The 16178-nt window shown below is 38.6% G+C and overlaps 1 protein-coding gene across 8 annotated transcripts in view; it reads left to right on the forward strand.

Annotated features, from left to right (window-relative positions):
* The window catches only part of AEBP2 (AE binding protein 2), a 118156-nt gene that overhangs the window by 58103 nt on the left and 43875 nt on the right, over window positions 1–16178 (forward strand). For 7 of the 8 annotated variants that reach the window (XM_047428299.1, XM_017018806.2, NM_153207.5 and 4 more), the window contains exons 2-3: window positions 336–543; window positions 11074–11181. In XM_047428299.1, the coding sequence (XP_047284255.1) occupies window positions 352–543; window positions 11074–11181 (300 nt within the window). In that variant the 5' untranslated portion in view covers window positions 336–351. Of the gene's footprint in view, window positions 1–335; window positions 544–4573; window positions 4677–11073; window positions 11182–16178 lie in introns of those variants that run through there. The other variant, XM_011520560.2, reaches the window with a different exon arrangement.

Raw genomic sequence — 16178 nt, forward strand, 5'->3', positions numbered from 1 at the left:
ACTGTAGAAGGGATGAGATGTGATAAGCTGTGTGTGTGGGGGTGTGGGTGTGGTTTGTTTTCTGTAAGATGTAGTATTGAGTTCATGCCTGCCAAAAGTTGCTTAAATTATTCCATTTCTGATTTTGAGGTACTGTCGTGTTTCTGTCTTGATTTGTACTTCATTGCCAACTAATTAATTTAAAAGCATTGTTGTTTTCTCATGGAGAATATGGTTACTATGCTTTGTTCACATGGAGCAGAATGTCAAGTGGTAATCTTAATTAAATATTTATAAGATCATATTCATGTTAGTGAATTTCTAGGAATAACACAGCCTTTTTTCTTCTTTTGTAGCATAAGCAGTACTATAATGGATGTAGACAGCACAATTTCCAGTGGGCGTTCAACTCCAGCAATGATGAATGGACAAGGAAGCACTACTTCTTCAAGCAAAAATATTGCCTATAATTGTTGTTGGGACCAGTGCCAGGCTTGCTTCAACTCTAGCCCAGATCTGGCAGATCACATCCGTTCCATACATGTAGATGGTCAGCGAGGAGGGGTTGGTTTTGTCATTTCTTTTTTTCGCTCCCTGTTTTCGTTAGTTTTATTAATTTATAATTGCTAGTTAGGCTTTTTTGCTGAAAGTAATTTGGGATTATTTTTACACAGGCTTAGTTTTTTCAAGTGAATTTTTAATAATTATTTCCCATATACTTGATAGAATCAAATAAAAATAGGGTATGTGCTGGATTTTAGTTTGTTTTTAGATACGTTATTTTGAAGAAATTAGACTTTTAAAAGTATAGTAGGTGACAGTATTATTAATGAATACAGTGTATTCCAGGGTTCTGATGTTTTGAGTTGAGAACATTTAGAATTAGCACTTTCTTGATTTTCCTTTGTTAGAGGATCCTAAATTATTCCTGACGCTTAAATTAACTGGGGAGACTATTGGTACCAGGATTAGTGTATGCAATTCTATTAAATAACAACCTGAACTCATTATTTGTGAGTGAGAATTGATCATCTTTCCCAGGTCTTGTCAGAGCTGATTTAGATGGAAAGTTCTGATTAGTTAGTATTGACCTATATGTCCTTTCAGGAATACATTTAATTGTGTCAGTTCATGTAACTTCTATTAGGTACTGAATAAAGAGCTAAGCAAATTGGGTAAGCCAAAAGTAATGTGCCAAAATATTAATTTATACATTGTTTCAACTTTACCTAGAATTTTGTTGAATAGTTATCACACTTAGTGCATTTTTCAGAAATTAATGTCACAGTGTAAGGGCAGGTAATTTATTAATATTAGGCCACACATTTCCTATCAGCCTGGCATCACTATTGAAGAACAGATAACTAACACAGTAAAAATCATCATGGTTTAAGTTAGTGGGTAACTGTTTCCAAGGTTCTGTTGATATTTAGAGTATAGTATTGATCTTTTTTTTTTAAACATCCAACCGGGTCAACGTTTCTAACATTTTAAGCAGTGATGTCATACTTGAATTTTTTTTTTTTTTTTTTTTTTTTGAGACGGAGTCTCACTCTGTTGCCCAGGCTGGAGTGCAGTGGCGTGATCTCAGCTCACCGCAGCCTCTGCCCCAAGTGATTCTCCTGCCTCAGCCTCCCGAGTAGCTGGGATTACAGGTGCCCGCCACCATGCCTGGCTAATTTTTGTATTTTTAGTAGAGATGAGGTTTTGCCATGTTGGCCAGGCTGGTCTCGAACTCCTGAACTCAGTTGATCCGCCCACCTCGGCCTCCCAGAGTGCTGGGATTACAGGCGTGAGTCACCGTGTGTGACCGAAATTTCTTTTAAGACATATTCATCCCTGTCACAATATATTATAATGTGTCAGCAGTTTTTTGATTACTCAAACTTGATAAGTATAGCAATTGTACATTTGTCTTCTTGTTAGAGTTAATATGTATGATGTCTGAGTAACCAGTAAAATGTTATACTTACCTATGATCTGTTAACTAACTGTGTCCATCATATGGTATTTTCAGTGTAAAACCCAGCTCAGTGGTTGGGCTACTTTGGTAACCCAGTCTTCTCCCCCAAGCCATATGTCAGATACTTAGTGTGAAGTATCTTAGCAAGTTGGTTTTCTGGCTTTTGTAGATCTGCTTTTTGTGAGCCAGTGCTTGATGTCACTTGGTATATACCATTTTTGAGCATCATGGCATGATGCTTTTTTGTCACTTGACTTAGCAACTGTGTATAGAATCATGAGCTATTTGGAAGATCACTGGGCTTCTCTTAGTAGATGTGGGAGAGGGAGAATTTCACATTTCTGAGTCTTGGAATCCCACAAGTTGAGCTGGCATACAACCTGATGAGAATTTCAGCCCTTCCCAGATTTGTAGAAAAAATGCAGTTACAGTCTGATTTTTATTTTATTTTTATTTTTTTAAAATTAATTAATTAATTTTTTTTTTTGAGACAGAGTTTGGTTCTTGTTGCCCAGGCTGGAGGGTAATGGTGCGGTCTCAGCTCACTGCAACCTCTGCCTCCCGGGTTCAGGTGATTCTCCTGCCTCACCCTCCCGAGTAGCTGGGATTACAGGCCTGAGCCACCATGCCTGGCTAAATTTTTTTGTATTTTTGGTAGAGATGGGGTTTCACCATGTTGGCCAGGCTGGTCTCGAACTCCTGACCTCAGGTGATCCACCCGCCTCGGCCTCCCAAAGTGCTAGGATTACAAGTGTGAGCCATCGCACCCGGCCAAGACTGGTTTTTAAAATAATTAAATATGTCATGTAATCACAGTAATTATATACCTGTACCTTATTGATATTATAGAATTAGACATGAAATGTTGGCATTTGTCCCGTAAGTGTAATATTGAAATGAAAAATCTCCCATGTGATTTCTTGAACCCTTATTCAAAAATATCACTTGATTACCAATAATAAGATTCTCTAGCTGATTTTAAGAGTGATGCTGTTTGGCCGGGCGCGGTGGCTCGTGCCTATAATCCCAGCACTTTGGGAGGCTGAGGCGCGCGGATCACGGGGTCAGGAGTTTGAGACCAGCCTGGCCAATATGGTGAAACCCCGTCTCTACTAAAAAATACAAAAATTAGCTGGGTATAGTTGCGTCCCCCTGTAGTCCCAGCTACTCAGGAGGCTGAGACAGAAGAACCGCTTGAACCCGGGAGGCGGAGGTTGCAGTGAGCTGAGATCACGCCACTGCACTCCAGCCTGGGTGACAGAATGAGACTCTGTCTCAAAAAAAAAATAAATAAAATAAAAAGAGTAATGTTATTTTGATCAAAGATAGGAGTCCTGATCTTTGAAGGACATTATTTGCTAAACTATAAATGTAAAGGATCAAATAATGTAGGAAATGCATCCCAGTTTTTTCCTACATACCAGTCATTAGAATATAGACTATGGTTTGTTTGTTTGTAGAGATGAGGTTTCACCATGTTGCCCAGGCTGGTCTCCAACTCCTCGACTCAAGCGATCTGCCCGCCTTGGCCTCTGAAAATGCTGAGATTACAATAGACTATGTGTTTTGAATGATAAAATATGAATGAGAGTTTGGAAACTTAGTACTACTATAAAAGACAAGAAAACTTGATCTGATTTTGTGCTTTGAGATTGGCTTTTGTGATTGTTTTTTCTTTTTTTTTTTTTTTTTTGAGATGGAGTGTTGCTCTGTTTCCCGGGCTGGAGTGCAGTGGCACGACCTCAGCTCACTACAGCCTCCGTCTCCTGGGTTCAAGCAATTCTGCTGCCTCAGCATCTTGAGTAGCTGGGATTACAAGTGTGCACCACCACGCCCAGCCAATTTTTGTATTTTTAGTATAGATGGGATTTCACCATATTGGACAGGCTGGTCTCGAACTCCTGATCTCAGGAGTTCCTGAGGAGGACTTGATCATCCTCCTCAGCCTCCCAAGGTGCTGGGATTACAGGCCTCTGAGCCACCATGCCTAGCGGGTTTTGTCTTTTGAAGAGTAGTTGTTGGTAGGAACATCAGATTTTTTTCTTTGAAATGAACTTTAAAAAAACAAAAACATTTTCGGCTGGTCACAGTAATCCCAGCACTTTGGAAAGCTGAGGTTGGTAGATCGCTTGAGCTCAGGAGTTTTGAGTCCAGCCTGGGCAACGTGACAAAATCCTGTCTCTACAAAAATTAGCTGGGTGTAGTGGCACACGCCTGTGGTCTTAGCCACTCCGGGGGATGAGGTGGGAGAATTGCTTGAGCCCAGGAGGTTGAGGCTGCTGTGAGATCGTGCCACCGCACTCCAGCCTGGATGACAGAGTGAGATCCTGTCTCAAAAAAAAGAACAAAAAACATTTTTAATGTATAGTTCAGGGGCTTTAAGTACATTCACCTTATTGTGTAATCGCCACCCGCTCTCTGTCTCCAGAACTTGTAAATTATCATCCCAAATTGAAATCTATACCCATTAAACAAACTTACTCTCTGCTCTTACTAGCTCCTGGTAACCACAGTTCTACTTTCTATCTCTGTGTGTTTGACTGTTGTAGGTATCTAATATAAGTAGAAAACACCTGATTTTGTTGGCCTAATTATTTTTTTAGATTTCTTATTTCTTCTTTCTCTCTTAAGTGTTAAAGTGTCATCATGGAACAGAAACAGATGAGGAAAAAATTGGTAACCCTAGAAGATTTTATGCTTCTGATTATTGAAAGATGACAGTTTTACTGGAGCAGTAAGTTAGCAAGATCTAAACTATATTAATTTCTGTTCTTTTTCTCATTCCACTATAATCTTTGCCCTGGGGAGAAAAGCAAAACCATTATATATCCACTTAGCATTGTTTTTTTCCCCCTTTTAAGTTGTTTATGTTGCTATGTTCATGTGGACTTCTTTGGAGGCTGAAGTCAAGTGGAGTTTAGATTTTCCTGGCCTGATTTCTACATTAAAATTAAACTAATCTAAACACCAAATTATGAATACACTTTTTTTTCTTAAACAGAGATGAGGTCTCACTGTGTTGCCCATGCTGGTCTTGCCTTGGCCTCCCAAAGTGCTAGGATTACAGGTGTGAGCCACCATGCCCAGACCAATACACCTTTTTTTTTAAAAACATCATGAGAGTGCTTTCTGCAATTTCAAAAATAAAAACAAAACAGGCAAAGAGAGAATCAAACCTATCTCTAGTGTTAAGTATGATAGAATTTTGTTATTGTTGCCCAGGCTGAAATGCAGTGGTGCAATCTCCACTCACTGCAACCTCCACCTCCCAGGTTCGAGTGATGCTCCTGTGTCAGCCTCCTAAGTAGCTGGGACTACAGGTGTGCGCCACCACACCTGACTTACTTTTGTATTTTTAGTAGAGATGGGGTTTCACCATGTTGGCCCGCCTAGTCTCGAACACCTGACCTCAGGTGATCCACCCGCCTCTGGCTCCCAAAGTGCTGGGATTACAGGCCTGAGCCACCGTGCCCGGCCTAGGTCCGTACGTCTATGTGTGACTGGTTTCTGAAGATTAGACTCTGAGTTATCTTACTAATCGAATTTCAAATCCCAGTGTCCTCTTAATATAAGTCTTGGAAAGTGGGGAACTTGTAGGACTTTAGAGGCTCAGTGTAAAATATATTACTGTTCTTTCTTAGCTATTTCTCACATAAAAACAATTTCTGGAAAGAAAGCCAGAGGTTTAGGTTTCTTGATATAGGATTTATTTTCTGTGTCATTTGAGGTTTACTTTTGCATATATTCTTTGGTGTGTTTTTTTGTTGAGAGGCAAAGCGAGGAGATTGTGGGCAAGGGAGGAATATGGTACAGTATTATTGGAAGACTTGAATGAGTCCAGTTAACTATAGCACTCAGGAGGTCAAGGTTGCAGTGAGCTATAATTGTGCCACTGCCTTCCAGCCTGGATGATAGAGCAAGACTCTGTCTCATTAAAAAAAAGAAAAAGAAAATAAAAATTGGGCTTGGTGGTACCGTGGAATCATCCATCCAACCCCTCTGCCTGACTTTGTGTGTGTGTGTGTGTGTGTGTGTGTGTGTATGTGTTTTTAATGAGACAGTCTTACTATGTTGTCCAAGCTAGTCTTACTATGTTGTCCAGCTCCTGGGCTTAAGCAGTGCTCCCATCTCAGCTTCTTGAGTTCCTGGGATTCCAGGCATATATCACCACACTCACCTGGCCTATCTGACTTTAGATGGTGTCTCTCTTTTCTTTTTGTGTAATTTTACTGAAAACAAGATCATTTACTCAGTATAATTAGGCCTTTATTTTGGCATGTAGATTATTCTGTTAACTTGCTCTGCATTTAGAATATATTTGGCTGATTTTAATTTACTGGTAATAACTGAATTTCCTTGTGCATACTTACTCTGACAGATTAACATTGCACTTTTTTGCAGTGGATTTTTCATTTATTTACAGAAAGATTTCATGGATTCATTTGTGTTCTTCAGGTGCATAGATGTTTGTGCATTTATCTATATTATCATACAAGCCATTTTAAGTATAGGCCATTCAAATACATTCAGATACATACACTGGTACAAGGATACACTGGTTCATACACTGGTTCAAGGATATTGACCAAAGTGAAGGAGACTCAGACTACCCTTGGCTCCTAGGTTTGTACCATTCTTATTCACTTTGGGCATTTTGGAGAAGATTCCCAGAGGCAAAACCTGTTCTGACAGAAACTCAGTACTTTGTAGAGTTCTCAACAGAAAGCCAAAACCTCCCTGTAACACTGAAATTTTAGACATCTACATCTTACATGTAAGGAACTTGAAGATTTCTTTAGCAGTCCAAAAATATATGTATGTTTTTTGAGATGGGGTCTCACTCTGTCACCCAGGCTGGAGTGTAGTGGCGCCATCTCAGCTCACTGCAACTTTCGCCTCCCAGGTTCAAGCGATCCTCCTCCCTCAGCCTCCCAAGTAGCTGGGATTACAGGCGTGTGTCATCACACCTGGTTAAGTTTTTGTATTTTTAGTAGAGGTGGGGTTTCGCCATGTTGGCCAGGCTGGTCTTGAACTCCTGACCTCAAGTGATCCACTCACCTCGGCCTCTCAGAGTGCTGGGATTACAGGCGTGAGCCACTGCACCTGGCCCAAAAATATTCTTTTAATGGCTGTGTGGGTTTAAAATTTTTTTTTCCTGGACATTCTGGCAGGAAAACCTGATGGCAGTTACTTTGAGAAGGAACCTTCAGTGTCTAATATAAACCCAGTTGTTTCATTGGCTGGTCTTTCTGAGATAATATAACATCTTATATTTTCATAGTGTTTTGGACTTACCACGTGTGCTCAGAGTATTTCTGATGAAAAAGGAAGTAGATGATTCTTCCAAGATTACATAGCTGCAAAGTGAAAGAACTGGATTGAATTCAGTTTAGCAGTGGCATGATCTTAGCTCACATAGCCTCAAACTCCTGGACTCAAGCAATCCTTCTACCTCTAGTGTAGTAGTTGGGACTACAGGCATGCATCACCACGTCTGGCTAATTTAAACATTTTCAGAGTTGGGATCTTGCTTTGTTGCCCATACTGGTTTGAAATCTGTCTTCTAGCCATCATCTTGCCTCAGCCTCCAGAGCAGCTGGGATTCTACGCACAAGTCACTGTGCTCAGCAGGTTGTTTTCTATTTCTGTTATGTCTGATACAACCTAATACAACACAATTTGCTGTACCATGAGAGACTGGACTTGGGACCCCTGTGTCTTATTCTGTTAAAATAGCCAGACCTTAATTCATTTTAAAATAGAAGAACCATGGCAAATTATATTCTTGAACATACTTCTTCCAAATTTGGATGTAATTGGAATCCTTTGGTATTTGATTTTTCAGGGTTAATTTTAACAGTAGGAGAGTTTCTAAAAATAGCATAAAAATGTTTTTCAGATATTATACGTCTAAAAAGTCTCAGATTTGAAGAAGACCCTTTTGTCAGATTTGGGAGTATTTTTATCAAAACGTCGTCCTAATACAGGCTAAGAAAGAAAATATAGCCTCGAACAGTTTTGTGTATTTTTGTGGATCTTTCTTTTTTCTTTTTTTTTTTTAAGACGGAGTTTTGCTTTGAGTGCAGGTTTGAGTGCAATGGCGCAATCTCAGCTCACTGGAACCTCCCCCTCCCAGGTTCAAGCGATTCTCCTGCCTCAGCCTCCTGAGTAGCTGAGGTTACAGGCATGTGCCACCACACTCGGCTAATTTTGTATTTTCAGTAGAGACATGGTTTCACCATGTTGGTCAGGCTGGTCTCGAACTCCTGGCCTGAAGTGATCCACCCACCTCGGCCTCCTAAAGTGTTAGGATTACAGGCATGAGCCATTACACCAGGCCTTTTTTGGATCTTTCTACACATTTCACCCCAATATAGCTAAACACAGTTAACTTTGATCTCTTTACGCCTACTTCATTTGGTATAAAATTCACTAGGCTGAAGATTTTGGTTTTTCTTTGAATCTGAAGGTGTTGCCTTAATCGTGTTACTAGACATTATTCCATGTAGAGTCTAAACCATACTTAATAAGGCTGTATCAGATGTGATTTCAGACCTGCCATTATCTCTATAGTCATGTTTGCTCATAGGAAAAAAATTAGAAGCCAGATACTGCTGTTTCTACCAAATTTAGTGATTGAGTGTTGTTAGGTAGAGGCAGTGCTTATTTCGAAGGAACTAAATCTTATCTTTAAGAGTATTTCAGAGTAGGGCGGGGGGGTCACTTAAGAATCCTTTTAACATTAAGGAGAATCCTTCTGTCAAAAAAGTTGTTACAGGAATGATGTTGATATTGTTCCCAAATACTTTCTTTAAGGCATTTCTGTTTACGTATTAGGTTGGTGCACAAGTAATTGCGTTTTTTTTCAATTAATGGCAAAAACGGCAATGACTTGTGCACCAAACTAATAATATGATTTCTGAGAGAATTTTAAACCAACCCCTGATTCCTCCTCTTTGTTACTTGGATTGCAGAGTAACACTTTGAATCTAGTAGTAGTTGTGTTTTTTTTTCTTGAGAGATGATCTGTCTCTTACTGCCCAGGCTGGAGTGCAGTGGCATGATTATAGCAGTTCATTGTAGCCTTGCCCTCTCCAGTGCAAGCAATTCTCCCACCTCAGCCTCTTAAGTAGCTGGGACCACAGGTGGGCACCACCATGCCTGGTTAATTTTTGTATATTTTGTATAGACAGGGTTATGGCATGTTGCCCAGGCTGGCCTCATTCCTGGGCTCAAGCAATCCTCCTGCCTTGGCCTTCCAAAGTGCTGGGGTTAGAGGTGTGAGCCACTGTGCCTGGTGAGTCTAGTAGTCTTGATTTCAAAAATTGATAGCATTAATTACCCATGTGTGATTATTAAACAATATTGAATTAATTTCTATAGCATTTAAGTTTTTTTTTTTGGAGAGAAGGTCTCACTGTGTCACCTACACTGGAGTGCAGTAGTGCCATCATGGCTCACTGCAGCCTCCATCTCTTGGACTTAAGCAATCATCCTGCCTCAGCTGCTAGCCCTATGCCCCACCACCACCCCTGAGTAGCTGGGACTACGAGTGCATATGCCATTATGCCTAGCCAATTTTTTTTGTTACTTTTGTAGAGACAGGGTCTTGCTGTGTTGCCCAGGCTGGTCTCGAACTCCTGAGCTCAAGCCGTCCCCCTACCTCGGTCTCCCAAAGTGCTGGAATTGCTGGTGTGAGCCACCACATCGGGTGCATATAAGTATTGCTTTGTATTTTTTTTCTGTTCCTACATTTATTTTTAAAAGTTACTTTTAACTCTGAGAACCTTGGCCATTAGTTTATAAACATGTTCTAGGGTTGGGAATTTTGAGTATGAAGGAGGAAACGTTATGACTTCCTTTATCTCATACTTAAAGAAACTAGCAAATTCGTTGTGGAGTCAGGATATGCAGTAACTTCTCTAAACAGTCTTGTCAAATGGCAGTGGTGGTATTGCCTTGTTATACCTATTTGACATAAGATGGTATTGTTTTTGAGTAAAAATTGACCTCAATTATTTGTTTATAGACTGTCAGTTTTTCTAGTCTATTAAAAATTTTATTTTAGGCTGGCTGAAGAAAGATTCTTCAGTTCTTTGTATATCTTTCTTGTGTTCTATATGTATGTAGTATATTACAGTCTTCAAAGTGTGACTCTGTAATTGTTCTTAACCTTAGAAAAGAACAGAGCCTTTCAAGATAATGATTCTTTCAAGATAATGATTGTGGTAGACCCTTCTTTACCTGATGTTGGGAAGCAGTTTTCAGTGTTTGGTTTGATGGAAATAGCATCAGTTAGGAAATTGACATGTCACTGGTAGGAAGATGATAAAGATTAATTTGTTAGTTTTGGTGCTTTCCACACCTAGTTATACTTAGTACCCTGAACCTAGAATGTGGATCTGTTATGAAAGTAGGGTAGCTCATGTCTGTTGTTTTTATTACTATATTCACTTAATATTTCGTATTCTATTTGTTTCATTACAAAATTTCATATTCCAGACAGGGTCTCAAATATCTCTCTATGTCATAATCGAGATAGAAATAATTCTTCATGATTAGAACAATATGGGAACAAATATTGTCAGTATGCATGTGAGACCAGGATATCACCAGTAAAAGATTGTAATTTGATAATTTTCATTCATTCTTTGAAGTTGAAAATATCAGTATCTTCTAATTAACATTTATTGGTCATTTCATTAATTTTTTTATACCTTTAAAAAGGTATATTTTTACAAAATATACCTTTCATAAAAGGTAAAAGGTGTATTTTTCCTATTTAAAATTAATAGATGTTTGTTCTTTTGTGCAGTAAATACAAAAATGTAAATAATGGCCCATGGTCTCAGTTCCAAGGGATATATTGCTAATATTATATATATTTCCTTCTGAATGGTATTCTGTGATCGGTGTGTTAATTCCTTATCGAAGGTGTGGACAGTAGCATTAAGGGTGGCTTATACTAGGATGTTTTGACAGTTTATGTATATTAAGCATTTTGATTGGCTTGTACATTCAGTAGCTCTTGTCAGTTGAAGAGTTGTAACATGTTAATTTGAATGTATGAGGAATCAAACTCTTCTTGAGATAAGTCATGAAAATTAATATGGTTCTGTTTTTCTTAACAGGTATTTGTTTGCTTATGGAAAGGTTGTAAAGTATATAACACTCCATCTACCAGTCAAAGTTGGTTACAAAGGCATATGCTGACACACAGTGGAGACAAACCTTTCAAGGTAAGGATGCATGTATATAAAATTTATTTATTTATTTATTTATTTATTTATTTATTTATTTATTTATGACAGAAGAGTCTCACTCTGTTGCCCAGGCTGGAGTGCAATGGTGCCATCTTGGCTCCCTGCAGCCTCCACCTGCTGTGTTCAATTGATTTTCCTGCCTCAGTCTCCTGAGTAGCTGGGACTACAGGCGTGTGCCACCACACCTGGCTAATTTTTGTACTTTTAGTAGAGATGGTGTTTCACCATGTTGGCCAGGATGGTCTTGAACTCTTGACCTCAGGTGATTCTCCCGCCTTGGCCACCCAAAGTGCTGGGATTACAGGCATGAGCCACTGCGCCTGGCTGTTTTTTCTTTTAAATGTTAGCTTAAGCTGACATGTTTCCTAATAGGCATAATTAAAAGCTCCTCTAAATTTTTTTAAAAACAACCATTTGTTTTAACATTCTTGTACACGCATTGAATTTCAAAAGTAGATGGAGATAAAGCTCATTTGATCAATTTTTTTCTATTTGAAGTACAGGAGAAATGTTGCTGTTGGATTAGGGTCTTGAAAATAGCTAGTGGGTAGACTAATGACTGGAAGCCATGTTGGTTTTTTTTAATACCTTGTGGTCTGATTATGTTTTCTTATTGTTAAAGGTTTCGGCATTTTCATTAGCAAACAACATTGACTATTATATAAAATAAATAAATTGTAGGACATTAAAGGATTTGATTCCTTTCACTCAGTTTTGAGGTCACACTACTGAGCTTAGTTGTAATTAGTTGTAAATCACTTTTGTCAAATTAGATGTATTCTGGGAAATCTTTATAAAGAGCAAGTTTCTGTAAAAATCTTTTCCATTTATCTTTATGAAAAATTAAGTATTTTGGTTTCTATTTATGGAAAGCAGCATATACCATAGAGATTAACAGTTTATGTTTAAAGGAGTTTAATAGTTGTTAAAACCACATTTACTGGAATGAATACTGTGCCAGTTATTTCCCTTGGGTTTTGTAGAGAGTGAGGTAATTCTTGTGGAGTTGCTTTTAAAAACAACCTTTTTGGAAAAAGCAATCAGCAAGTTAAAACATTATAGCAAAGGTTTACACTAAGAATTATTTGTCTCTCTCTTTTTCCTGTTTCCCCCCTTCCTCCCAAATATATAATTATTATTTGTTTCTTGTGATTTTTTTTCTAGTATTTCCTTATGCAACCATAAGCAGATAAATATGTAGTCTCATTCTCCTTTCTTTCTTACACAAAGTCTAGTAAATTAAATACTGTCTGTGCCTTGCTTTAAAAAGAAACAAACTTAATTTTAGAGCAGCTTTAAATACACAGATTACTTGTTTTTCTATATACTTGTTTTTCTATATACCAAGTTTCTTCCATTCTTGAAATACTATATTGTATATGGGTACCTTGCTTTTTTGTTTTAATTTGAATAGTTTTTTTTTCCCCCCTCAAGATGGAGTCTTGCTCTGTTGCCCGGGCTGGGGTACAGTGGCATGATCTTGGCTCACTGCAACCTCCGCCTCTTGGGTTCCAGCGATTCTCCTGCCTCAGCCTCCCGAGTAGCTGGGATTACCGGCATGCGCCATCACGCCTGGCGAATTTTTATACTCTTAGTAGAGATGGGGTTTCACCATGTTGGCCAGGCTGGTCTTGGACTCTTGACCTCGTGATCTGCCCACCTTGGCCTCCCAAAGTGCTGGGATTAACCACACCTGGCCCTAATTTGAATAGTTTTTGGGGAACAGGTGGTTTTTGGTTACATTGGATAAATTCCTTAGTGGTGATTTCTGAGATTTTGGTGCACCTGTCACCTGAGCTGTGTACACTGTACACTGTACCCACTGTGTAGTCTTTTATACCTAACCACCCCCACCCTTCCCTCCTAGTCCCCAAAGTCTATTATATCATTCTTATGCCTGCTCATAGCTTAGCTCCTAATTATAAGTGAGAACAAAACGATATTTGATTTTCCTTTCCTGAATTACTTCACTTAGAATAATGGTCTCCAACTCCATCCAGGTTTCTGTGAAAGCCATATTTTGTTCCTTCTTATGGCTTGAGTAGTATTCCATGGTATGTATGTATGTATGTGTGTATGTGTGTGTATATATATATATACTGCATTTTCTTTATCCACTTATTGATTGAAGGGCACACTTGTGTGTGCAAGTGTCTTTTTCATATAATGACTTTTCCCAGTAGTCATTCATATAATGACTTTTTCCCAGTGTCATTCATATAGTGACAATCCCAGTAGTGGGATTGCAGGATCAAATGGTAGTTCTACTTTTAGTTCTTTAAGAAATCTCTGTACGGTTTTCTATAGTGGTTGTATTATATTCTCACCAGCAGTGTAAAAGTGTTCCCTTTTCACCACATCCATGCCAACATCTGTTGTTTTTTGCCTTTTAAATTATGGCCATTATTGTAGGAATAAGGTGGTATTGTGTTGTATATCTTCTTTTGAGAAATGCTTATTCATGTAATTTGCCCACTTTTCGATGGGATTATTATTATTTTTTTCTTGTTGATTTCTTTGAGTGCCTTGTCAATTTTGAACATTAGTCCTTTGTTGGATGCATAGTTTGCAAATATTTTCTCCCATTCTGTGGGTTGTCTGTTTATTCTGCTGATTATTTCTTTTATGTGCAGAAGCTGATAATCTGCTGATTATTTCTTTTTATGTGCAGAAGCTTTTTAGTTTAATTAGGTTTCATCTGTTTGTTGTTGTTCTTATTGCATTTGCTTTAGGGTTCTTGGTCATAAACTCTTTGCCTAAGCCAATGTCTGGAAGAGTTTTTCCAATGTTATCTTCCAGAATTTTTATGGTTTAAGGTCTTAGATTTAAGTCTTTGCTCCATCTTGAGTTGATTTTTGTATAAGGTGAGAAATGAGGATCCAGTTTCATTCTTCTACATGTGGCTTGGCAGTTATCCCAGCAGCATTTGTTGCAAAGGGTGTCCTTTCCCCACTTTATGGTTTTTAGTTTTTATTTTTTTGAGACTGAGTCTCGCTCTGTCACCCAGGCTGGACTGCAGTGGTGTGATCTTGACTTACTGCAACCTCTGCCTCCCGAGTTCAAGCAATTCTCCCGCCTCAGACTCCCGAGTAGCTGGGATTACAGGTGGCTGCCACTATGTCTGGCTAATTTTTAAATTTTTAGTAGAGACAGAGCTTCACCCTGTTGGTCAGGCTGGTCTCGAACTCCTGACCTCAAGTGATCCGCCCGCCTTAGCCTCCCAAAATGCTGGGATTACAGGCGTGAGTCACCAATATTTGGCTTTATTTCTGGGATCTCTATTACATTGGTCTATGTGTCTGTTTTATTCCAGGACCATGCTGTTTTGGTAAGCATAGCCTTGCAGTATAAAAAGTCAGATAATGTGATACCTCCAGATTTGCTCTTTTTGCTTAGTCTTGCTTTGGCTATCTGGGCTCTCTTTCGGTTCCATATGAATTTTAGGATAGTGTGTTTCTAGTTCTGTGAAGATTGATGATGGTACTTTGATGGGAATTGCGTTGAATCTGTAGATTGCTTTTGGCAGTATTGTCATATTCACAATATTAATTCTACCCATCCATGAGCATGGGATGTGTTTTCATTTGTTGGTGTTGTCGATGATTTCTTTCAGCAGTGTTTTGTAGTTTTCCTTGTAGAGGTCTTTCACCTCCTTGGTTAGGTATATTCCTAAGTATTTTATTTTTTTGTAGCTTTTGTAATAGGGGTTAAGTTCTTTAGTTGTTTCTCAACTTCGTCATTGTTGGTGTAGAGCAGTGTTATTAATTTACGTTGATTTTTGTATCCTGAAAGTTTACTGAATTTATCAGATTACAAGCTTTTTGGATGAGTCTTTAGGGTTTCCTAGGTATATGATCATATCGTCAGCAAACAGCGACAGTTTTATTTCCTCTTACCTATTCGGATGTCCTTTATTTCTTTTCTCTGATTGCTCTGGCTAGGACTTCTAGTACTTATGTTGAATGGAAGTGGTGAGGGTGGACCATCCTTGTCTTCTTCCAGTTGTCACGGGGAATGCTTTCAACTTTTCCCCGTTCAGTAGAATATGGGCTGTGGGTTTGTTTATTACGTTAAGGTATGTTACTTCTGTGCCAGTTTTGTTGAGGGTTTTAATCATAAAGGGATGCTGGATTTTTTTGTTATATGCTTTTTCTGCATCTATTGAGATCACATGATTTTCAGTTCTTTTTATGTGATACATCACATTTACTGACTTGTGTATGTTAAACCATCTCTGCATCCATGGTATGAAACCCACTTGATCATGGTGGATTATCTTTTTGATAGGCTGTTGGATTCGGTTAGCTAGTATTTTGTTGAGGATGTTTGCATCTGTTATCAGGGATATTGGTCTGTAGATTTATTTTTTTGTTATGTCCTTTCCTGATTTTGGTATTAGGGTGATACTGGCTTCATAGAATGACTTAGGGAGGATTCCCTCTTTCTCTGTCTTTTGGAATAGTTACATTAAGATTGGCACCAGTTTTTCTTTGAATGTCTGATAGAGTTCAGCTGTGAATCCAACTGGTCCCAGAAGGGTCGTGTATTTCCCAGAGTTTATCCTCTCCTCTACATTTTCTACTTCGTGCATGTAAAGGTGTTCATAGTAGCCTTGAATGATCTTTTGTATTTCTGTGGTATTGGTTGTAATATCTTTTGTTTTGTTTCTAATTGGGCTTATTTAGATATCGTTCTTCTTTTCTTGGTTAGTTTCACTAATGGTCTGTCACTTTTGTCTTTTCAAAGAACCAGCTTGTTCATTTACCTTTTGTATTGTTGTTGTTCTTTTGGTTTCATTTAGCACCACTCTGGTCTTTGTTATTTCTTTTCTTCTACTGGGTTTGGGTTTTGTTTGTTCTTTCTTGTTTCTCTAGTTCCTTGAGGTATGACCTTAGATTGCCTATTTGTGACCTTTCAGACTTTTCTTTTTTTTTGAGACAGAGTCTCACTCTGTCGCCCAGGCTGGAGTGCAG

Source organism: Homo sapiens, chromosome 12, assembly GCF_000001405.40.
Source record: "Homo sapiens chromosome 12, GRCh38.p14 Primary Assembly".
Classification (NCBI taxonomy): Eukaryota; Metazoa; Chordata; class Mammalia; order Primates; family Hominidae; genus Homo; species Homo sapiens.